Source organism: Homo sapiens, chromosome 5 (assembly GCF_000001405.40).
Source record: "Homo sapiens chromosome 5, GRCh38.p14 Primary Assembly".
NCBI lineage: Eukaryota > Metazoa > Chordata > Mammalia > Primates > Hominidae > Homo > Homo sapiens.
Genome location: NC_000005.10, coordinates 125,593,575 through 125,619,750, shown reverse-complemented (window position 1 = coordinate 125,619,750; position 26,176 = coordinate 125,593,575). Strand labels below are relative to the sequence as shown.

Here is a 26,176-nt window from a genome sequence, read left to right as displayed (position 1 = left end):
CATGAGGAATGAAGCAGCATTAGTTGTAAGGTGAGGACAAAGGCCTTTATGGTTGTCAAAGAGGGAGACCTATGGGCAAGTTCCTTAAGTTCTTTAAGCCTCAGTTTTCTTACTTGTAAAATGAAGATAATGATAGTCACATTGTGTGGAGTCAATATGATAATGAGAGAAAAACTCTTCTCTGGTGCCTGGCACGTAGTAGATAATCACTAAATGTTGGTTAACTTTTATTAGAAGTAATTGTAGTTAAAAAACATTATATATATAGAGTATATATTATATATATAGTACATAGGTTTTTAATGCAATATCATAGTATATAGGCTATTTGATGCAGTATGTCTTATAATCTTTTTTTTAGATCAATTCATTCATTTTTTAAGAAATTTTTTTTGTTTTTTATTTTATACTTTTAAGTTTTAGGGTACATGTGCACATTGTGCAGGTTAGTTACATATGTATACATGTGCCATGCTGGTGCACTGCACCAACTAACTCGTCATCTAGCATTAGGTATATCTCCTGATGCTATCCCTCCCACCTCCGACCACCCCACAACAATCCCCAGAGTGTGATATTCCCCTTCCTGTGTCCATGTGATCTCATTGTTCAGTTCCCACCTATGAGTGAGAATATGCGGTGTTTGGTTTTTTGTTCTTGTGATAGTTTACTGAGAATGATGATTTCCAATTTCATCCATGTCCCTACAAAGGACATGAACTCATCATTTTTTATGGCTGCATAGTATTCCATGGTATATATGTGCCACATTTTCTTAATCCAGTCTATCATTTTTGGACATTTGGGTTGGTTCCAAGTCTTTGCTATTGTGAATAATGCCGCAATAAACATACGGGTGCATGTGTCTTTATAGCAGCATGATTTATAGTCCTTTGGGTATATACCCAGTAATGGGATGGCTGGGTCAAATGGTATTTCCAGTTCTAGATTCCTGAGGAATCGCCACACTGACTTCCATAATGGTTGAACTAGTTTACAGTCCCACCAACAGTGTAAAAGTGTTCCTATTTCTCCACATGCTCTCCAGCACCTGTTGTTTCCTGACTTTTTAATGATTGCCATTCTAACTGGTGTGAGATGGTATCTCATTGTGGTTTTGATTTGCATTTCTCTGATGGCCAGTGATGATGAGCATTTTTTCATGTGTTTTTTGGCTGCATAAATGTCTTCTTTTGAGAAGTGTCTGTTCATGTCCTTTGCCCACTTTTTGATGAGGTTGTTTGTTTTTTTCTTGTAAATTTGTTTCAGTTCATTGTAGATTCTGGATATTAGCCCTTTGTCAGATGAGTAGGTTGCAAAAATTTTCTCCCATTTTGTAGGTTGCCTGTTCACTCTGACGGTAGTTTCTTTTGCTGTGCAGAAGCTCTTTAGTTTAATTAGATACCATTTGTCAATTTTGTCTTTTGTTGCCATTGCTTTTGGTGTTTTAGACATGAAGTCCTTGCCCATGCCTATAGATGCGGAAAAAGCCTTTGACAAAATTCAACAACACTTCATGCTAAAAACTCTCAATAAATTAGGTATTGTTGGGACGTATTTCAAAATAATAAGAGCTATCTATGACAAACCCACAGCCAATATCATACTGAATGGGCAAAAACTAGAAGCATTCCCTTTGAAAACTGGCACAAGACAGGGATGCCCTCTCTCAACACTCCTATTCAACATAGTGTTGGAAGTTCTGGCCAGGGCAATTAGGCAGGTGAAGGAAATAAAGGGTATTCAATTAGGAAAAGAGGAAGTCAAATTGTCCCTGTTTGCAGACGACATGATTGTACATCTAGAAAAACCCATTGTCTCAGCCCAAAATCTTAAGCTGATAAGCAACTTCAGCAAAGTCTCAGGATACAAAATCAATGTACAAAAATCACAAGCATTCTTATACACCAACAACAGACAAACAGAGAGCCAAATCATGAGTGAACTCCCATTCACAATTGCTTCAAAGAGAATAAAATACCTAGGAATCCAGCTTACAAGGGATGTGAAGAACCTCTTCAAGGAGAACTACAAACCACTGCTCAAGGAAATAAAAGAGGATACAAACAAATGGAAGAACATTCCATGCTCATGGGTAGGAAGAATCAATATCGTGAAAATGGCCATACTGCCCAAGGTAATTTACAGATTCAATGCCATCCCCATTAAGCTACCAATGACTTTCTTCACAGAATTGGAAAAAACTACTTTAAAGTTCATATGGAACCAAAAAAGAGCCCGCATCGCCAAGTCAATCCTCAGCCAAAAGAACAAAGCTGGAGGCATCACACTACCTGACTTCAAACTATACTACAAGGCTACAGTCACCAAAACAGCATGGTACTGGTACCAAAACAGAGATATAGATCAATGGAACAGAACAGAGCCCTCAGAAATAATGCCGCATATCTACAACTATCTGATCTTTGACAAACCTCAGAAAAACAAGCAATGGGGAAAGGATTCCCTATTTAATAAATGGTGTTGGGAAAACTGGCTAGCCATATGTAGAAAGCTGAAACTGGATCCCTTCCTTACACCTTATACAAAAATCAATTCAAGATGGATTAAAGACTTAAACGTTAGACCTAAAACCATAAAAACCCTAGAAGAAAACCTAGGCATTACCATTCATAATCTCAAAACTGTAAATGTCATATTATTTTTCTGAGCTACTTAAAAGTTGATGACCTACTCTGGAAATTTACTGTAAACCAACAGGTGGTGTTAGTGGTAGCTATATCCTATATAACATACATATCATATATAGTATATATATTATATATAATATATATTATAATATAGTCTATATTATATATATTACATATTATATATTATAATATAGTCTATATTATAATATATTATATATAATATATAATATAATAATATAGACTATATTATAATATATAATATATATTATAGTCTATCTTATATGTTATATATTATAATATAGTCTATAATATAGACTATAATATATAACATATATTGTAATATAGACTATATTATAATATGTAACATATTATAGACTATATTATAATATATAATATATAATAAGACTATATTATAATATATAATATATAATAGACTATCTTATATATAACATATTATAATATCTTATATATTATAATATAGTCTATATTATAATATGTTACATATTATAATATAGTCTATATTATAATATATGTTATATATTATAGTCTATATTATATATTATATATTATAATATAGTCTATATTAGATTATATATGATGTATAGTATATATAATATATAATATATAATATATAATATATTATATGTATTATATATGATATGTTATATATAATAATTATATAATATAATATATTATATATCATATGTAATAATTATATAATATATATTATATATCATATATAATAATTATTAAATATATGTTATATATCATATATAATAATTATATAATATATGTTATATATCATATATAATAATTATATAATATATTATATAACATGTAATAATTATATAAGATATTATATATCATACATAATAATTATATAATATATATTATATATCATATTTAATTATATAATATATATTATATATCATATATATTATATAATATAATATATCATATGTAATTATATAATAGAATATATCATATGTAATTATATAATAGAATATATCATATGTAATTATATAATAGAATATATCATATGTAATTATATAATAGAATATATCATATGTAATTATATAATATAATATATGTAATTATATAATATAATATATCATATGTAATTATATATATAATTATATAATATATCATATAAAATATATTATGTATTATATACTTCTAATATATTATTGTATAATTATATATTATATATAATTATATATTATATAATATGTAATTATAATTATATAATATATATAATATGATATAATAAATAATTATAATTATATATTACAATTATATATAAATATTTCATATAATATAAATAAATTATATCCAGTATTATATATATTCTATTACACATTATATAATAGAATATATATTAAATTATATATAATATATACTATAATATATATATAATATAATATATACTATACATCATATGATGTATAGTATATATAATATACTATATATTATATATAATGTATGTCATGTATATCATGCATATTATGTATTATATATAATATATAATATATATTTTATAATACAGACTATATATTATAGACTATATTATATTTAATATGTATTATTTATACTATATATTATAAATAATATATATTATAAATATATATTATATAGAATATATAGTATAAATGATATATATAATATATAATATATTATATATTATATATAATATATGGACTATTATAGTCCATATTATATATAATATAGTATATATACCATATTATATATATTATATATATTAAATATATATATAAAATATATATATTATATATAATATGGTATATATACTATATTATATATAATATGTATATAAAATATATATATAAAATATATATATTATATATACTATGGTATATATACTATATTATATATAATATATATATAAAATATATATATTATATATACTATAGTATATATTATGTAGACTAGAATATATATATTATATATGATATATTATAATATAGACTATAATTTTATGTATATTATATGATATATTATAATATAGACTATAATTTTATGTATATTATATGATATATTATAATATAGACTATAATTTTATGTATATTATATGATATATTATAATATAGACTATAATATTATATATATTACATAAGATATATTATAGTAAGACTATAATATATATGATATAATATAGATTATAAGATATATATTATACATAATATATTATAATATAGACTATAATATTATATATTATATATTATATATTATAATATAGACTATAATGTTATATATTATGTATGATATATTACATAGACTATAATATTATATATATTATAGATGATATAATGTAGACTATAATATATATAATATGATATATTATAATATAGACTATATTATATATAATATATATAATATATAATACAGACCATATATTATAGAATATATAATATAGACTATATATTATAGAATATATATAGACTATATATTTTAGAATATATAATATAGACTATATATTGTGTGATATATATATTATACATGATATAGCTACCACTAATACCACCTGTTGGTTTACAGTAAATTTCCAGGGTAGGTCATCAATTTTTAAGTAGCTCAGAAAAACAATACGACATTTACAGTTTTAAGATTATGAGACATAATGCATTAAATAATTATGTACTTATTTTCTGATCTCACAGTAGTTGAATTATAAAGGGTTGACTGTATATGTTTTGATGATATGTTTGTCATCATGAAAACTCATACAGGTGTGTCATACAAGTATGACAAGTAATATTTAAAAGTTATTGCATAATGTGTGATTTTATTAAATGATGAAATTATTTTTGGAATTCATGTATTAGCATAAATTATATACTTAATAAAAAAGAAGTGATATTGCCACTGCTTCAAAATTGTATTCAGAGCCTATTTGTAAGCTACCTAAGAATTCTCTTAATTTTTACAGATATATCTCATTCTTTGAGCAAAAATATTTAAGTTTGACTTTTAGATGTTTTCAGAATTTTTAAATAAAATATTGAATATTCTGAGGAAGTCTCAGGATGTTTCAAAAGTTGTTTTTGGAGAAGTAAAATTATCAAATAGTCTTAAGCTGAATTTTTTTGAAACAAAAAATTGCCACATTTCAGTGTATTAATTTTGGTGTGTATAAATGTACACATGTATAACAAGTTTTATAGTTAATGTACTAAGATGACATTTTATGCTTTATGTACAGTTGATGTATTTTGATAAAAGAGAGAAGCTTTCCTTTCAGACTTCTGTTAGCAGGATTTAAAATATTAATTTTTACTCTTAACTCAGGTTTGATACAAATAATAAATGAGCAAAAAGAATAAATGATCTTAAGAAATTATTTCTATCTGACATGAATTATTATTCCTGAATTTCTTGAATCTTTTAGCACTCTTCTGTATGTTACAAATTTATATCCAAGTTCTTATTCCTGTTGATGAGATATGAATATTATATATTCCTCAGTGATACACCCGAAATAAGCTATTAAACAAGCCATAACACCAATAAAACATTTACTCTTCTTTCTAAATAAAGAATAAATAACCAGTACTGATAATCCTAATTTTGGAGACGTGGTTTTAAATAAATTTTACTCATCCTGCTTTATACTAGAGGAGAAAAAGTTGATGTCATATGGACTTCATTAGATTTCAGTGAATTTTTTTATTTATGACTTCCTCAGATGCGGTATTTTCCCTTCATAGCAGCTACTATCGCAGAAATTGTTTCTGAAAGTAGATACTAAAAAAGATCTATGGATTTCTTTTTAACTAAGATTAAAATGAACCATAGATATATATATGTGCTAGATATATATAAAATATCAACAGCCAATTATTTAACCATATCTAACTTAGGCATCTTTTTTTAAAAAAATAAGAAACCATCCCAATTTGACATCATATAGTATTGAAATATCTGTCCTTTAAGAGAAATATTCAAGATGGGGGATTAAGGGGTGGGAGCAGATTTGATTTTACATCATTTTTTCCATGTGAATATTCTTCTTTTGGCTTACAAATCACTGAAGACAGATTAAGTCATCTGTACACTGTTTCAGAAAGATATTTCCTCTCTTCTGTTTCCTATTTACAATTCCACTGAGTTCATAAAATGGTCAGATGCTACAGAGCCATGAACAAACTACAGTGCTTTTAATAGAGCCATTCATCTGCTCCTTTTGAAGGTTAGTGCTTTCTCTCAAGGGAGGGTTCTCAGATAATAAGAGGAAAATGAATGCCAGTTGAGCACCTGTAATCAAATAACTCTTAATTCCCTCAACTCTTGTCAGATATTGAGCTCCTCATATTGTTTCATAGGTGAGCATTTTATAGATCCCCGTGGTGTAATGCAGTTAGTTTCCTTTCCTGCTTCCCTTCCTCTTTCCTGTTCTCTAGCCACCATCCATCATGACTGGGTAAATCCTGTCAGACAGAAAGTCCCAGTCGTTCAAACAGTCAGATACTGCGCCAGCCTGGTCTACACTTGCACCTGTCACTTCCCGGCATTCAGCTTGTGAGGAAGGGAGCCAAAAGAACATTTATCGAATGGATGCGGGCAACATGCCTAGCATGTCAACAGGCATGTGGCCTCAGCCGTGGGTCTGGTAGGATAGGATGCTACTGGTCCTGAAAAGATTCACAGTCTGCCCCGCCCCCGTTCCCCGAAGAAGGACTGATCTATGTAAAATGCTTGCTGCTTCAAACCTAGAGAAAACCGTAATTTAGTCCGGACTCTCAAAGACCCAACCTGTCACATGTAACAAAACAAGAGCGGTACGAAGCTCTGAGCTTGAGTCAGCTGGTCCATAACTCATCTTGCTATAAAGTCTGCAGAGGGAATTTGTAGAATGGGGTGAAGTGTTCCGTTTCATTTGTATTGTATCGCTTGGGATCTGAGATGAATTCAGGATGCAGCCACAGACATGCTTGGAATTTCATTGATTTTCTTGTATTAGTTGGAACTTAGATATGCTTTATGGTTTTTGTAACCTTAACTTTTATTGAATATTTTTCAGGCGTAACACATGGAAACTAATGGTGTTCTACAATTGCTGAAGCAAGTGTAACACTAAAGGTATTGCCTTTTAGTTCTTTATCAAAATAAATTTTACTCTGAAAAATCCAGTCAGGGAGATATGCAAAAATACAAATCTAAGAATTATAGCATTGTAATGAAGATAATGCTTAAACTTTATTCCAAAACTATGTACAATGAGAAAACTCATTTATCAGTTATGGAAAAAATTAATGTTAGTCTTGAAAATATCTACCTTACTGATTTGTTACATGGACAAGTTACAACATTCCCATCAGAAATATGTTTCCTGTTTTCCTGTTTTTGTCCACTCTGGGCAAGAGAATCAATCTCTCTCTCTCTCTCTCTCCCCCTACCTCCCTCTCTTTCTCCCCCTACCTCCCTCTCTTTCTCCCCCTCTCCCCTCCCTCTCTCTCTCCCCCTCTCCCCTCCCTCTCTCTCTCCCCTCCCTCTCTCTCTCCCCTCCCTCTCTCTCTCTTTCTCCCTCCCTCCCTATCTATCTACCTATCTTACACATATACACACACACGCACATATACACACACACACACACACAGTTACTAAGGGCCAGGTACTGTACTAAGCTCTAGATTAAGACAGTGAATGAAAAAGATTCCATATCTGTGCTTCTTGCACTTATGGTCAGGTGTTTTCTTAAGTATACTTACCAATGATGGAAAAAGATACACACACACACACATATGCACACTCACTGTTCTCCATACTATTCTCTGCCATGAGAGCAATGCATATATTTTACTGTAATTTCTTTCATAGAGACCCTCACACCTACATTCTGACATTAATATGCAGTTTATTCTCCTGGTGGACCTGGTATTAATTCTTTGGTAAAACACATAAGGCAATAATATCTTTGCTGTACACGTCCTCTGTATGTTACATACTCTTTATTTCATCACATTTTCCTGGCATGCTCACTTCTTGTTTCAAGGCCCTCTTTGATCTGTGTTTTGTTTTTTGCATTTGTTTAAAGAACTAAGGCTTTGTCATTTAATTGCAAAGAAAGACATTAATTCTTTCAGAACATTAAAAAATGCTAGATAACCATTGATAGATTCTTACTGCTGCTTTGTGTCTCTAATCCAATGTTTTAGAATTTTTTATTACTCATGAACCATACGATAAGCATATAAATATTTTCCCTCTCTGTGAAAGACACAGCTGGACATTTACCCAGTAGATATTTCCTCCATGTTACTTGCAGACAGATAACTGCTTTTGTTCACCATTTTGAGTGTTCATGTGAGTCTAGAGAAATAGCTACAGGGGACAGTCTTTATTGGTCCTAGCTGATCAGTGGCTGTCTTTGCCACAACAATTCATTGCTCAAGGCGTGATCACGTGGGATGATTCTGGCCAATGAAAAAGTCTGGAAAGATTGTCCTCATTTCTAAAAGAGATAAATGAGGGGGTTATTTCTTTTTCTTCGTCTTGACATTGTTATCTGCATGTGGTACCTGGAACTGAAATAGCCATCTGAGGACCTTTAAGTGAACAAGCCTAAAAGAAGTCAAAACTCTGGGGAGCTAAAGAAGACATAGAATCGATGTCTTTGGAAATGTATTTGCTTTTCCAGCCTTAGAATTACCCCACAACCATGTATTTAGCTATGTGAGGTAATACACATACTTACCCTTTGCTTTCTATATTTTCTGTTACGTGTAGCCAAAATATATCTTACTGTACACACCTGTCTTTAAAGAGTTCAAAATATAATGAATGTCATGACTAACGTCAAATAAACCTAATTTTGAACTTGAAATATATATATATATTCATAAATATGTATTCATATATATATGCTTAAACATATATATATACATATATATATGTATATATATGTTTACTTTGATCACACAGTTCTATCAGTGTAAGAACTGAGACTATTTGCTTGCCATGAGCGTTTTCTTCCTGGGTTGTGTGGAAGGTAAACAAGATAGATCACTTTCAATAACACATCTGTGTTCTTTTTTGTTTCCCACTACATGTGTACTACTTTCTATACTCTTCTAGCTCCTGTCCTCTTGGAGAATTATAGCTCTAATATCAGGGATCCAGATCTGTTGTTTCTAGCTAGCCCTGTGGTGATTAGATGAATGCTTTCAACTTCCTTCGATAGGAAATCACATTCCCCTAGGAATCGAGCTGAAAACAGGATTTTCATGTTCATCTCCCAAACACTCAACACATATACCTCTTAACTGAACCTATGTAAGCTGATAGCTTGTGGTGATCACCTTTCCCACCATACAGAAGGACCGAGTAATGAAGCCAAATCAAACAAGCTGGTATCAAGATGGGGAGTCACAGAGTTCTGTGGATATTTTTGAGCTCATAAATTCATCTGTCTCTAAAGCTCAGTCTACTCATTAGATTTTTTCCAGTTACATAGGCTGAGCTACAGTTATTGTGATAGGCAGAATAATGACTCCTCAAATATGTTCACACCTTAGTTCCCAGATCTGTGAACATATTACATTTTATGGCAAAAGGGACATTGCAAATGTAATTAAGATTAAGCACTTTAAAATAGGGAGATTGTCCTGGGTTTTATTTGTGGAAATAATCTCAATCACATGATTGATCCCTTAAAAGCAGAGAACCTTCTCTGACTAGAGTCAGAAGGATTCACACAGCAGAAGGGGCAAGTTAGATTACAAGCATGTGAGAAGGACTTATGACACAATTCCTGAGATGCAGTGACATGCACACAACTCCTTTAGACATAAAGGGTAACCCCTAAATAACAGCCAGCAAAAAAACAGGAACATCAGTTCTACAACTGCAATGAATGTTCTGCCAACAACAGCCTGACTCAACCCCAATACGACTCTTCTCCAGACTCTCCTAACCAAAGCCTAGTTGGCTGACCACTTGATTTTGGCCTTGTGAAATCTACAATAGAGAAACCAGTCAAGACAACCTACCTTTTTCTGACCTACAGAAATGTGAGATAGGAAATCTGTTTTGCAGCTGAGTATGGTGACTCATACCTGTAATCCCAGGACTTTGGGAGTCCGAGGGAGGAGGATCACTTGAGGCCAGGAGTTTGAGACCAGCCTGGCCAACATGGTGAAACCCTCTCTACTGAAAATATGGCACGTGCGTGTAGCCCAGCTACGTGGGAGGCTGAGGCATGAGAATCACTTGAAGCTGGGAGGTAGAGGTTACAGTGAGCTGAGATTGCACCACTGCACTCCAGCCTGGGTGACAGAGCAAGACTCTGTCTCAAAAAAAAAAAAAAAAAAAATATATATATATATATATATATAAATATATCAGACATGGTGGTGCCAACCTATAGTCCCACCTACTTGGGAGGCTGAGGCAGGAGGATCACATGAGCCCAGGAGTTCGAAGCTATAGTGAACCAGGATTGTGCCACTGCACTCCAGCCTGTGCTACAGAGCAAGACCAGTCTCTAAAATAAATAAATAAAATAAAATTTTTAAGAAAGTAAATCTGTATTGCTTTAAACTGCTAAATTTGTGGTAATCTGTCACAGCAGCAAAAGAAAACTAATATAGCTACTGAGAAGGATTTTGGGCTCTCTAAAACAAAAGTGTCTTGATGAAAATAACGGTATGTTTTGGCCCAAATATTATTGCAATGAAGATGTACTGAATTTTCTTTTGAGTATAAAGTAACCATGGTCTTGGAGAAAAATAAATTTTATTCTTAAATATATTTGGGTTTTTAGAATGTTGTGGTTAGTTTTTGTTTGCCTCTTGATGGCAGAAAAGCAAATAGCTTGAGAACAAGATCAAGGCCCTGGGTTGAAAATAAGTGAACTCCATTGAGGGCAGAAATAGAAAAAAATAATACATTTGGAGCACTGGTTTGACAATGGAACTGCTGCAGGAATGACTGAGCACATTAATAGGTCAGAGGCGAGTTAATCAGAAGAGACTTACAGGCTCACACACGATGCCTGAGCAGGTGAAAGGCCTGAGGAAAAGAAGGTTGATGAAAAGGGATTGGGCAGAACCAAAGGAAGACAAGACCTCTCAGCCTGATTAGGTGGCTTTGGAGGGAAGATTTTAAACATTGAAGTAAGGGATAAAAATGAAACTCTAGGAAACTGGATTTGTAACCCCAAAGCTGAAAGAAATAAGATCCTGGGAGAAAATTCCAGCTATGTCAAGTTAGCTTTAAATGTAGCAAAACAAAGTGTTGCCAACCAGGGAAGCCCACCTGAGCTTTGGGGTTAGTCACATAGACACACAGCTACTCAGGCTGTGGCCCTTCAGAGCAAGACTAGGTATTCACCATAAGTCACATAAACCATCTCATCAAACTGATACTTCTCGGTCCAAAGCCTCAAGCATACAAAAGCATGGTTATAAGGTAGAATATTCCAAGGGCTTGGAGATCATCTCCCAGGAGATCATCTGGCCAGGCCTTTCTTGGAAATGTGGAGCATTTGAGCAACCCAAGCCTGCTAGGTTAGCTCTTTTCTGCAGAGGGCCCTTGCAATTGTGGATCAGGGATCTTGGTTTATAAGGGCCTATGAAGTTATACTAAGAGTGATGGGACACTTTATAAGCAAATTCACCAACATGCTGTGATGGCATCAGGAGACACTGCAGCAAGATCTCTCTCTAAGGGAGCCACATACTAACAGAGGAAGTTCCTTTCTGTACAGAGAAAAAGTGTGCTCCATGGGGCCATAGCCTCTGCCCAGGCTGGAGTCCATAATCCTGACTCTTACCACCAGCCCAGAGCTCAGTTTCTCAAATGCCTCAGATGCCTATGCAAACCCATGCAACAGCCTTAAAAGTCGTGGGAACTTCCTTATCTCTCAGTACTTCCTCTCCTTTTTCATGTAGTGACTCACATAGAATTTGATAATATTTCAAACACGCTGAACAGAAAAGGCCACTCTCAGTCCAAGGAGACCAATTTAAGGTCCTCCAGATGCCTCATCCCAGCCTAGCCAGCCAGGGGCTGAGAGAATTCTTAAGTTATGTTTCTGCTAAATATTAGCAGGTTCAGAAGCTATAGCATGTTCTGAGGTTTGCCTCCTATTACTTGATATGCTAAGTCCTATCCCATGAAGAAAAATCACTTATTCTTTCTCTAAACTATGTCCCTTTTTAGCAAACTCATCTTATCTTCCTCGCCAAAGAAGAAAATTCAATTTTTCCCCCATTAGAAAACAATATTTTCCTGCCACTAGATTGATTAAAGAAGTAGTAGATTCCATCTTTGGAATATCCATTCCCCTGGAAAAATTACACAGGCAGAGGTGGGGGATAGAAATAGGCTAAATTGACTTTACTTTGGGGGATTCACGAAGGGTCATGTGTTTATCTTTGTTCAGAATTAATACTGGGACTACAGCAATATAAGAACCTATTTCTACCATCTTCAAGGAGTTCATATTCTATTGAGGGTGTTGAGGGATAGGAGAAGATAAACAGTTAAAATAAGATATAATGAGTGCTTCTACAGTAGTGACCAAAGGCCAGAGAACCCGGACTGTGACATTCGAGGACAGGAGGAGAAGAAGGTGTCTTGTTTTAGAAGGGAGAGAGAGTGGAAGAAAGAAAGCCAAGCAAGCTACATGTCCCCCTTCTGTCTGCTTTGTTCAAGCCAAGCCTCCAGCTGGATGGATGGTGCCTGGCCACATTGAGAGCAGATCTTCCTCTCCCAGTCCACTGACTCACATTCATGCAGGGCAGGCAAGCCCCAAGTTGGGGCTTAGTGTGAGAGGGTTCTTTGCTTCACCCAGGAAAGAATTCAAGGTTGCAATGGTAGAAGCAAACAGTTTCATTGAAGTGGCAGTGTTACAGCTCCAGCAGTGTTATAGCTCAGGCAGTGTTACAGCTCCAGGACTGCACCTGCAGAGCACGGCTATCCCATAGACAGTGTGCTGACAGCAGCAGCTCAGGGCAGTTCTGCAGTCATATTTATACCTACTTTTAATTGTATGCAGATTAAGGGGCAGTTTATGAAGAACTTTTAGGAAACAGGTAATAACTTCTAGGACATCGGGTCATTGACATGGAAAAAGGTGGTAACTCCCAGGGGTTGCCTGGGCAATGGTAAACTGACATGGCACACTGGTGGGCGTGTCTTTTGGAAAGCTGCTTCTGCCCCATTCCTGTCTTAGCTAGTCCTCACTTTGGTCTGGTGTCTGAGCCCCGGTTATGGAGTCAAGTTCTGCCTCCTACCTCAGCACGTCAGACTCTCCTGGCAATATCCTCACAGACACACCCAGAAACGATGCTTTACCAGACATTTTAAGTATCCCTCACTCCTATCAAGCTGACTCCTAATATTAGCCATCACAGATAGTAAGCACAAAACTATTGTATGGGAGGAAAGATATCTACCTTTTCTTTGTCTAAAACAGCAAATTACATTGCACACAGTTAACAAGTTACTTTGGATTCCCTTTCTAGTCCTAGGCTTTGGAGTCTTAACAGCTTGAAAAATATAAGGCTGAGGCATCTTTGAAGATATTTACTGTCTATATGCAGTAAAGAGTCACTTACACTACAGCAACCCAGGACCCTACCCAGCTGAGGAGGAATGCAGCTGTGACCATGATTTATAAGCCTTCCTCCACTTCTCCAAAGCAGCATTCAAAGTTCTGCTCTCAAATTTAGCCTCCTTCAAGTCCAACATGTGTTGGAGCTATTTGCATAGAATGACAAGAGTGGGAAAAGTCAGAAGAAAATGCTGGAATATTATCTCTGGGCTGGCATGCATTTCTAAGTTACAGAGATATATGTGCAAAAATGTGCCTTTTAAAATGTCTCTAACTTAATTTAGTTCCTGAGGCCATTTTAGCTGATGATAGAAAACATAATTTTGTCAATTCAGGGTAAGCTTAAGCTTATTCAAACTTATTTAAACATGCATTTAAACTCAGTCAATTCTTCATTTTTAGAATATTTTGCAGAGCTTCTATTAGCAACTTCATATTTTTTCCCCTTTTTTTTCCTTCTGTCTGTGGTGAGCTCTAAGTTCAGAAAGGAGAGTGGAAGGGGCTTAGACTTAGTGGAGGGGCTGCTCCTAATCACCCTTGGAATCCTTGGACATCTGTTAAGATGTAGCTCACTTCTTTTGTTTCTTATTTTCCTGCTGTAATTCCCACTACTCAATTCTGAGGTTCACACGTTCTGCATTTTACTGATTGATAGCTCAAAATAATATTCTATTAAAAGCAGTATAGATCAAATAAATTAATTTGCCATTGTGACTTCACCCTTCATTTTATGGGATTCCTTCTCACTCCATTGTCAACTCTAGGCCATTTAGCAATGTATCCCCATGAGCACTGAAACACTCATTCTTGACTGCCTGTATGATATTTCAGTGCCCTCTCTTTTCCAAACCCAGCAGCTGCAGATCTGTAGATTGGAAATACATTGATCCTACTTTCAACCAGGGAAATGGTGGAAAGCATTCCGAGTGAAGACTGTGGTTAGGATGTTCTGGGAGCACAGTCTAGTGTATACAGAGTAGCTTCTGCACTCTGAGTGAAAGCCCTCTAACCTTGCCTCACCGTGTGTTCTTATATTAGAAATTTCTTTTGTCTCTAAGGCATCCAGATGCTCACCATATTGAAGCTCAGCAAACTGCAGCAAATCATGCACCACATAACATTTTGGTCAACAATGGACCACGTATACTATGGTGGTCCTATAAGACCATAATGAAGCTTAAAAATTCCTATCACCTAGTGATGTCATAGCTGTTGGATGTCGTAATGCAACACATTACTCACATGTTAGTGGTGATGCTGGTGTAAACAAGCTTACTGTACTGCCAGTTGTATAGAAGTATAGCACATACAATTATGTACAGCACATAATGCATGATAATGACAAACGACTATGTTAGTGGTTTATATATTTACTTTTTATTTAGAGTAAATTCATTCTACTTACAAAAAGTAAAGTTAACTGTAAAACAGCCTCAGGAAGTTCCTTCAGAAGGTATTGCAGAAGAAGGCACTGTCATCATATGTGAGGACAGCTCATGTGTGTTATTGCCCCTGAAGACCTTTTTTTTAGTGGGACAAGATGAGGTGGAAGATAGTGATATTGATGATTCTATAGGCCTAGACTAATGTGTGTGTTGGTGTCTTAGTTTTTAATAAAAAAGTTTAAAAACTGAAAAAAATAAGGGTAGAGAAAAGCTTATAGATAGAAGGATAGAAAAATAAGGATAGAAAGAAGCTTAGTTCTAAAGAAATAAAATATTTTTGTACACCTGTACAATATATTTTAAGCTAAATGTTATTACCAGAGTCAAAAGTCAAAAAGTTTTAAAAAATTAAAAAGTTTATAAAGTAAGAAAAAGTTTTAAAACATTTAAAGAGTTTATAAAGTAAGAAAGTTATAGTGAGCTAAGGTTACTTTGTTTTTGAAGAAATAATTTTAAAAATTAGTGTAACCGGATTGTACTATACAGTATTTATAAAGTCTGTGGTAGTGCACAGTGAAGTCCCAGACCTTCACATTCACTTACCACCCACTCAGTGACTCACTGAGAGCAACTTCTAGTCCTTCAAGCTTCATTCATGTTAAGGGCCTATGGAGATGTACCATTTTTTATCTTTTATACCATATTTTTACTGTACCTTTTCTATGTTTAGATATACAGATACCATCGTGTTATAATTGCCTACAGTATTCAGTACAGGAACATGCTGTGTAGCAGCGGTTCCCAAGCTTTCTGGCACCAGGGACAAGTTTTATGGAAGATAGTTTTCCCATGCGGTGGGGTGGGGATGGTTTTGGGATAAAACTGTTCCACCTCATATCATCAGGCATTAGATTCCCATAAAAAGTGTGCAACCTGGATCCCTTGCATGCACAGTTCACAATAGGGTTTGCCCTCCTGTGAGAATCTAATGCTGCCACTGATCTGACAGGAGGCAGAGCTCAGGCAGTAATGCTCGCTTGTCCACGGCTCACGTCCCTCTGTGCAGCCTCATTCCTAACAGGCCAAGGACCAGTACTGCTCTGAAGCCTGGGGGTTGGAGACCCTAGAGTACAGCCTATGTGTGTAGTAGGCTGCACCATCTAGGTTTGTGCAAGTACACTTTATGATATTTACACAATAATGAAATGGCCTAACAAGTTTTCAGAACGTATTACCATCATTAAGCAACACATGAATGTACTTACAGCATAAGAGATGAGTAACACAGCTACCATTAGGAAGTTAATAGAACGTGTGGAAAATTAATAGCATGGTAACAGTTTTGTGATTGTGCACTAATAGCAATGCAAGTTGTAATTATACATCCAATGTGTGTGCGTGTGTGTGTGTGTGTGTGTGACAAACCAAAATGAATGGGACATGCATTTAAAGGAATTATTCTGAGCAGAAGCTTTCATAAATTTAAGCTAAATTACAAGCTACATGTGCCTAGGCCTTTGAGTGACTCCTCTGGCTATTATATTGCTTTGCTATGTTGGGTACAGGACAGATAGGTAGGATCTGTTTCTAAATGTGCTTTTCTTCACCTAGACCAGGGGTTTTCAAACTTGTTTTGTAAAAGGCCAAACAATAACTAATTTTAGGCTTTGTGAGCCATAATGCCTCTCTGACAACTACTCAATCTGGCCTTTGTAGCACGAAATCAGTCATAGACAATATGTAAATAAATGAGCATGACTATGCTCCCATAAAACTTTATTTACAAGAACAGAGAGCTGGATTTGGCCCAAGAATCATTGTTCGCAGGCTCCTTTCCTAGGCTTGAAAACAAAATCCCAGTTTTTGTCCCGCCCGGTGTGTTTGGGGAAAATGTACCCATGAACAACACCTCTCACTTCTTTATTTTTATTTTTTATTTTACTTTAAGTTCTGAGATGCATGTGCAGAATGTGCAGGTTTGTTACAAAGGTATACGTGTGCCATGAACACCTCTCCCTTATTAAGGCCAGGTTGCATCCCTCTTATTCCACTCTGTAATCCACACACATAATGTTCAGTACAGAGAAGGCATTTTAGTTGTTTTTTGAAAATGATGAGCTTTCTTCTCCGTACATCTGTACAAATGAGGACACATTTCTTGTCTCTTCTTGGCAAATGTCTGTGGTCAAGGGCAAATCTGAGACATATGGACTCCTTCCCAGTGAAGAGGTAACACACAGTGGTATTGACAGCAAGAACATTCCCTATGAAACAGACCAGATTCTAAACATGACACATATTCAAACACTCTATTTGAGTCTTTTCAAAAGTTGACGTTTTTCAAATATGTGTTCTTTGTAGATAACAAAGTATTTAGCACCTAAGAATTGTTCTGAATAGTGTTATTTCATACTAATTATGTGTTGCCATTTGGTGGCTTCTTTGGGGAGGGAAAACATGATGTCAACTATTGTTTCATTAACCCTAAAGAACTGGCTTATAGCCTCCTCCCAATTTTATTTTCCCAGCTTTTGTTCCCTCTAATTACCATTGTTACTAATAACACCTTAGAGGGCACACAATAATGTATTTCTGGTACATGTATCCATCCTAAAAATATATGTTTGTAAATTTAGTTGCAAACAATTGATTTTGTTGTCATAGTCAATTATCAATGGGACTAAAGGTCCTGAAAGATTGCAAGACATTTAAATTCCAAAAATTTTATTCATAGGAGACACTGATACTTTCCACATGGGGCAAGATGAAAAGTCCTTATTTTCTTCGTTGTGATCCAAATTAAAGCAAAGTTTAATTAAAGTTTCATTAAAGAAAGATCTTTTGTAGTCCTGGGAAGCATCTTTTTCTTTGAGCCAAATATGTTTTAGAACGGCATGCTTTCATCTCAAGTTTTTAATGTTTTGCTGAGGGAAGAAAGGGAATAGATACACCATTAATAAGGTGTGATGTGGCTCAGCCAAGAGTATAAAGCACCAGGTGTTCTATCAATTCTCATCTAGGCTGAATAGACTGCAGTGCAACACCTATAAGCTTTCTTGACTGACAGTCTTTTCACATGTTGCCACCTGAGTGACTTCTAATCGGGCGCTACTCCTCTAATCAGGCTTCCCATTGCATTCTCATCACTTTAACTATTGTTCTTTCACATAAAACCTCTTTGATGCCAATTCTCTTCCCATATTCCTTTCTTTAATATCCCCCTACAACTCCCTCATCCATCTTCTGCAAACAAACACACTCTGCTAGTATTATTCCTCTTGGATACATTACATAACTCTTCTCACTTGCAGCATTTCACGCAATCATTGATTTATCTTTTTTATTTGGCCTCTGACATTATGGTGTTACTACTGGCAAATGAATTTCAGCATTTTGCCTGCAATTAGGTGGGGTTTATATCAAAGGGGTATACAATCAGAAATGATTACAAATAAAGGTTACACATCTTCTTAGCTCAGCTTCCTTGGGAAACAGACCCTAAGACAGAAATGTGCATGCAGAGAGGTTACAGAAGAGTTCCCTGGGAGGCAGCATTTATGAGAACATAAGGGAACCAGGATTGGGCAGAGGGAGAAGTTGAATTGCAAGACAACTGAAACTGAGACTTAAGAAGATCCACAGGGAACTCAGGCACAGAGATGACCCTTTAGAGACATATCTCTTACTTTTCATTGAATGCAGAAGAAGGTCATTTCCTTGGGCAAGGGAGTTCTCTTTGGGGAAGAGTACTTCCTAGCACTTTCCCCATTACTTGAGGACAATACCAACCTCCAGATCTGTCGCACCCCTACCCACTGGCCATTAGGGCTTATAACTTGGGTAAAGTCACTGTATCACCCAGCTAGGATCGTGTGAGCCAAGGGAAAAAAAAAAAAAAAGAGATGATATTCTAAAGGAGCTGCAGGAACTGGCCAGCATGTATAGGAAACAACTCAATTCTGAGGGTCCTTGATTAAGGAGGTCAGATTATAGAATTGCATAGGGGAGAGTTTGTACAGTAGCACTATCCTGAGATACACAAGATACAATATCCTTAGAAAGACCCCAGGAGATAGTTAAGTAACAAGATGGCTCCTAAAAGCATTGGAAATTGATGACTTACATTGCATCATTGAAATGCCAGAATTGTCTTGGCAGGCAGTGGGGTAAGGAGTTCAAAGACTCAAGGAAGTGATTATACTAGAATAGATTCTTGAACAACATGGATTTGAACTGTGTGGGTCCACTTACATGCAATTTTTTTTTCTGCCTCTGCCTCTGCCTCTGCCACTGCTGGGAGAGCAAGACCAACCTCTCTTCTTTCTCCTCTTCCTTAGCCTACTCAATGTGAAGACCATGAGGATATAGAACTTTACGATGATCCACTTTCACTTAATGAATAGTAAATATATTTTTCCATTCCTTTTGATTTTCTGAATAATATTTTCTTTTCTGTAGCTTACTTTCTTATAAGAATACAGTACATAATACATACATAAAATATGTGTTAACTGACTGTTATTGGTAAGGCTTGCAGTCCACAGCAGGCTCTAGTAGTTAAATTATGGGTAGTCAAAATTATGCAAGAATTTTCACTGCACAGTGGTTGGTGCCTCTAATCCCTGAGTTGTTCAAGGGTCAACTGTATTATGTAAAGCTGAAAGTCTCATCAAGTGATTATGTTTCATGGAGAGGTCATAGCAAATGCACTGGTCAGGGGAGCACAAATATCAATAAAAACTCAGTGATGTCTCTCTCCTGTTAGCCAGGGATGACAGTAGGAAAGGCCATTACAGAACATATAGGATACAAACAATAAGGACCAAATGGCAGTGCTTGTATGCAGGAAGCCAATACAACTCAATACAAATGAGTTGCAGGTTTGGAATGACAATCAAGGGGACCTGACTTCTGGAGAACCATGGAGATGCAATTATGGAGATGCATTCCTAAAGGCAAAATATACGGGTAGCCAACTTGAATACTACTCATTTTAAGCCATCTGGAAACAGCAAGAGTGGATGACCCAGAGGTTAGGAACTCTTGTCCTAATAATAATCCATTGTCAGGTTTCTGAATCAAGCTGATTTTCAGACATAGCATCTGAGAAAGGACCCCACGATACAGTGTACACTACAGTGTACACTGTAGTGATCCCTTCAGTCTTTTCATAGTGAGACCTGCATTCATTTACTCAGGTAACTGTACACTGAGAAGGGACATAGCCAAAAGTTTCTACAAGTGTTGGGCATAGAAGCCAAGTTAACACTGAAACCTTATGAAGCAAAGTGTCATCATGGCTCTCCAGCAGAATGGAGACATATGGGAGCCAAGCAATAAAAAAAAGTCTTGACCAACATCTGGATGATAGTGGATCCACTGGGTTGGCTGGCCCATCCATTGGTCATATTCCTAATTTTTGAATATTCAGTTGAGATTGACATACTTCATAACTGGTTCATCCCCCATATTGGATCCTTGGCCTTCAGTACATGAACTTTCATACTGGGAAAGTGCAAATAGAAGCCTCTAAGACTGCATTCTCTTCCCCCAGTCAAAATAATAAATCTAAAACAATATTATGGGGCTGAGCGCAGTGGCTCACACCTATAATTCCAACACTTTGGGAGGCCAAGGCAAGACGATGACTTCAGGCCAGGAGTTTGAGGCTGCAGCAAACTATGATTGCTTCAATATACTCCAGCCTAGGTGACAGAGCAAGATCCCATCTCTTAAAAAGTTAAAACATAAAAAATAAACAATATTGCATTCCAGAGTAAGGGAATGGCTGACGATAGTGTGCTATCATTAAGGATCTAAAGTCCAACAACATTCTAAAATAATGAATATAGTTATTGAACACTAAAAATATGGCTAGTATGACTGAATAATTTTTATATGTTATTTATTTAAATGTAAATCAAAATAGCTACTGGGTGTACTGAGTGGTTATCTTATTGGATAGCATAGATCTAAAGATTTGGAGTGGTGGCCTCCATTTTGTTTCCATTTAAGTTAATGGTTTGGCCACTAAAGAAACATATTGGATACTGAAGGATGCAGGAGGCCAACACAAACCCAGTTAAGTAGCAGCCTTAATTGCAATTGCTTTTCCAGATGTGTTTTTTTTTCCAGCGCCACTTAACATAACCTCAGGTCTATGGTTTAAAATATTACTTTGGTGAATACTTTTATCTACTTTAATCAGAAAGTGAGATTATAATGTGTATTCACATAAAAGGGGCAACAATGTACAATTATGCATTTACTCCAGAGCTATGAAAACTCCCCTGCCTTCTGCCATAATATAATCCAAAGTGATCAGGACCATCTGGATGTCCTGCAAAATACACTGGTTAACTACATCAATGATATTAGGATAACCTGGCCAGCTAAATTGTAATTGGCTAACATACTGAAGAACCTAGCCTTTTTAGCTTGAGAGCTGAGAGAATGTGAATGAAATGTTATAAAGACTCATGGGCCTACCACATCAGTAAAAAATGTGGGAGTTCCGTTGGTCAGGGGCGTGTTGAGATGTCCTCTCCAAAGTAAGAGACAAATTATTACATTATTCATCTCCTACCACAAAGAAGGAAGCACATTATTTGGTGAGCCTCTTTGCATTCTGGAGGGAGAATATTCCTGGAAGTAACTTGGTCATCCTTATAACAGCTGACACCAAATGCTACCAGCTGTAAGTGAGGTCCAGGCTGTGGTGAATTCAGTCCTTTTATCCCTGCCTGAAATGACTCATAGATAAACATTTCTAAAACTAAATATTGAGAATGTTGATGTTTTTGTTTTCTGATTTTTCCATAAACAAATGGAAATTTTCTAGCTTATCTTTCCTTTAAAAAAAATAAGTTAGACTTCCCACAAATGTGATTTTTAAATCTTTTTATAAAACAGGCAAAGCAAGCATAGTACATATAGAAAGAATGAATAAAAAAGGAAAGAAGGAAGTAAAGAAAGAAAGGAAGGGTGGGACGCAAAGAAGGAGAGAACCACCAGAAATTTAAAGTGTAAAAAAACTTTATTTTCTCATTTAAATGTGGGTGTTATTGGGAGGGGGTGAGAAGCTGAGGCTCAGAGAGATTAACAAATTTGCTCAATATTTACACAGAGCTAGCATGCAGTAGGGCTTGGGCTTGAAACCAGATCTATCTCAAGTAAAAGCCTGTGCCCTTAAAGAAGATGCCATGCTGAGTCCTTGATGAAGCATTAAGACTAAATATATCAGCTAATAGACCCTGCTTATAAGTAAGAATTTCAGATTGAGTTAAGAAAAAAGACTTTAATATTAACTGCAATATACTTAACAAAAAGACACTATTTTTAAGTAGTATTGTTCAAAATTCTCTTACAGAGAAAACTATACAACCGGTAATACTAATTTCACATAAAGTGAAATTAAATACAAACATTAAATAGCCACAAAGATTGCCAAACAATGCTATTAAAATTCATACCTCACCATGAAATATAAGAAAACTTTATAGAATATTTGTCAACTAACCAAGCTGTCAAATATATAATACAAACCTGGAATAACAGGAAATAATTGTTAAAATGCAATTATTATAAAATATTGGTGAGATGGGTGTAAACCAAAGAGTATCGGAGACAAGTCTGAATCAATTTAGAAAGTTTATTTCACCAAGGTTAAGGAAGTGCCTGTGACATAGCCTCAGGAGGTCCTGAGGACATGTGCCCAAGGTGATTGCGGTACAGCTTGCTTTTATACATTTTAGGGAGACATAATACATCAACCAATACACGTAAGATTTACATCGGTTTGAACTGGAAGGGCGGGACTTGTTGCCCAGGCTGGTCTTGAACTACTGGGCTCAAGCAATTGGCCAGCCTTGGCCTCCCAAGGTCTTATGACTATACGTGTGAGCCATTGCACCCAACCATGTGTTTTTATGAATACCAGATTTGGTCTGACTTTTGTTTTCCTTGTATCTCTATACCTCACATCAAAATAACTGCGGGGAAGGCCTACGGCACTTACCTATCTCTTTCTGTGAAAGGATATGCTATCTGCCATAAAGAACATGATAAAAGGAAATGAACAAAGTGGCTTTGGTCAGTTCCCAACAGACTATTTATATCCAGAGTGGTCTGGTGTGATACTGCAGTGAGAAATTATATCTCTACTTCTGTAATATTTTTTATAAAAACAAAGTCCAGTAATTTAGAATCAAAGTACTTTTTTACTTGGATGTTGAATGATTTGCACTATCCAGTTCTTTTTTAGAATTACTCATTAGTCACAGGGACATTTTCCAAATTTTTAACACAGTTATTCTATACTTTATGCTATTAGTACAAAGATGATAATATATGTTTAATGTTTAGTGACACTATAATCATATTTTCTCATGTGAATTAAACCTTCTCTTCCAACATATTTCCAAATCTTGTGTTAGTTTCTGATATCCTTAGAAGTTTCCTTAGGTGGCAAATCTAATCCACCTTGTGAAATTTTGAGATCTCAACCATTCAAGTTTGTATGGATATCTGTATTTTGTATATTCCTAATCTTTGTTCCTTGAGTCAGTAGTGATTCCATTTGCTAGTCTACAATTTATGCATTAAAAATAGTATTGGATTAAACTGCAAAGTAAGGTTTTTTTTTTTCATGCTTTTTCTGCATTTAGTCCATGTAAAACACCAGTTGTATCTCATTTTTGTTATACTCAAGTCCCTTGAAGTCTTGTATTTTTGCAACTGTTCATACTAAGCATAGTTTCTTTTTCTAAAATGACCTTGTGAAAGCCATTGTTATGGAGGCATTCTGTGACTAAGATTCCGTTACACGACTGAGCTGGCTGATGGCTGAAGTTTGAGCAGACGCAGCTGGTTGTTGCAGCTGTGGGTCACAGCACGCTACATCAGACCAAATGTTCATTTTGTAGACACTGCCGAAATCTTGCACTGATGGAAGTCCCAGTGACTTTGAACAAAATGTACCCAAGTGCCTCTTCAATGAGCATTCTACAATAGTGAACAAAAACCCAGCACTCGACATTTCTATGCTGTAGAAAGTAGTTATAACTAAAGTTTAAATTGGAAGGTTAAAGCTTGTGCACCAATGTAATAGTCACATCAGACAGGACTACAATCTTCCTTTTCAGAAACTAAAAGGAACTTAACATCTATGTAGAAAAGAATGAGAATCAGATAGGATAAAATTTTATTGCTGTTTATTTTCCAAAAAAAAAAAAAAAAAAAAAAAAAAACTTCTCTGAAGGTCCCCTAACCAATTAGTTTCATCAAAGGATGCAGCAATTATTTTTCCCAATACTCAAATTCCAATGTTTCCTTTTTATGAACACTTTAAGTGACATGTGCTTGAAAAGACACCTGTAAACAGAAATTGTATGTATCCAGCCCAATTTTACCAAACATTTATAACTGTGAAGTTAAGAGAAACAGTTTTCTAGGGTTGTGAAGTTAAAAGTGAAGAGGCAAGCAGAGAAAAGTACAAGCCAAGGCAATGGTCATCTTTTGTCGTGTCTTTTCCTTCTCTAGAGTCTGACAGCATCCTCTTCATCACTCCTATTTTGCTACCTCCATCAAAGAAAGAACAAAGTGTGAACTGAGAGACCCTAGAAAGAGTGTTGAGATGGGTAGAAGGGCATACACCTTCCCAGATGAAAATGTCAAAGGAAACAAATATCTTTCAACATTTCTTCTCTTTCTCTGTGGTGTTTTCTGGGCCAGTTTCCTCTCTGATACCATCTACTTCCTCTATTTCTCTTTGCTTCAGCCACATTTGTCTTCCTGCTTTTTGTTGAATAAATCATGTATATTCCTGCCTCAGGGCCTTTGCCTTGATTTTTTTGCCTAATTGGTCCTCCATATACCTATATAGATTGTCCCCTCAACTCTTTGTTAAGTCTTTGCCAAGAAGTCAGCTTCTCAATGAGACTATCCTGGCCACCCTCTCTTTAATACCACAACATGCTTCCACCCGCGCTCCCTCATATTGCTACCCTTGGAGCCATGTTCTACTCGCCCTCCTTCTGTATGCACACATTGTCTTCAAATTTTGCTTATCTATTATGCCAGTTTTCTTTCTCTACCTATGCATATGTGAGTTTCATGATGGCAAGAACTTTTGTCTGTTTAGATATTTAGCACCTGGATTGTTGCTAAGAACATGGCAGACGCTCAATTTGTAATTGCTAAATGAATTGATAAATGGGATCCAGAGCCTTTCTCCCAATTATCTGTTGATCAAGCATACTTTTCTTGCTGGGTCCAGTGGTTCTAATCATAACTGCACAAAATTCCTGCTTACTTAGTCATCCAAGAGAACAGCACTTTCCCTCATTAAATTTAAAATATCTATAATGTAAAATACATCATAAAATGTTTTCTTATAAACGCTTTTGAAGATATCTGATACAGCATTTATTACTTTAAACTCTAAGTACCTCTATTAATTTTTAATTTTCATTTCTGAATTACTTAACCCCAAACTATTTAGCAAATTCTTATGTACTCTCCTGCAAATTTAAGACATGTTATCATTTTGACATTTTTGCATCATA

The 26,176-nt window shown here is 35.2% G+C and overlaps 2 long non-coding RNA genes across 2 annotated transcripts in view; one reads left to right on the top strand and one right to left on the bottom strand.

Annotated features, from left to right (window-relative positions):
- The window catches only part of LOC124901056 (uncharacterized), an 891,204-nt gene that overhangs the window by 750,548 nt on the left and 114,480 nt on the right, over positions 1–26,176 (top strand). Inside the window, exon 8 of the long non-coding RNA XR_007058919.1 lies at positions 7,690–7,748. This is a non-coding gene — a long non-coding RNA (uncharacterized LOC124901056). The remainder of the gene's footprint in view (positions 1–7,689; positions 7,749–26,176) is intronic.
- LINC02240 (long intergenic non-protein coding RNA 2240) overlaps positions 17,524–26,176 on the bottom strand; it is a 108,967-nt gene continuing 100,314 nt past the window's right edge. The window contains exon 4 of the long non-coding RNA NR_109887.1: positions 17,524–18,535. This is a non-coding gene — a long non-coding RNA (long intergenic non-protein coding RNA 2240). The remainder of the gene's footprint in view (positions 18,536–26,176) is intronic.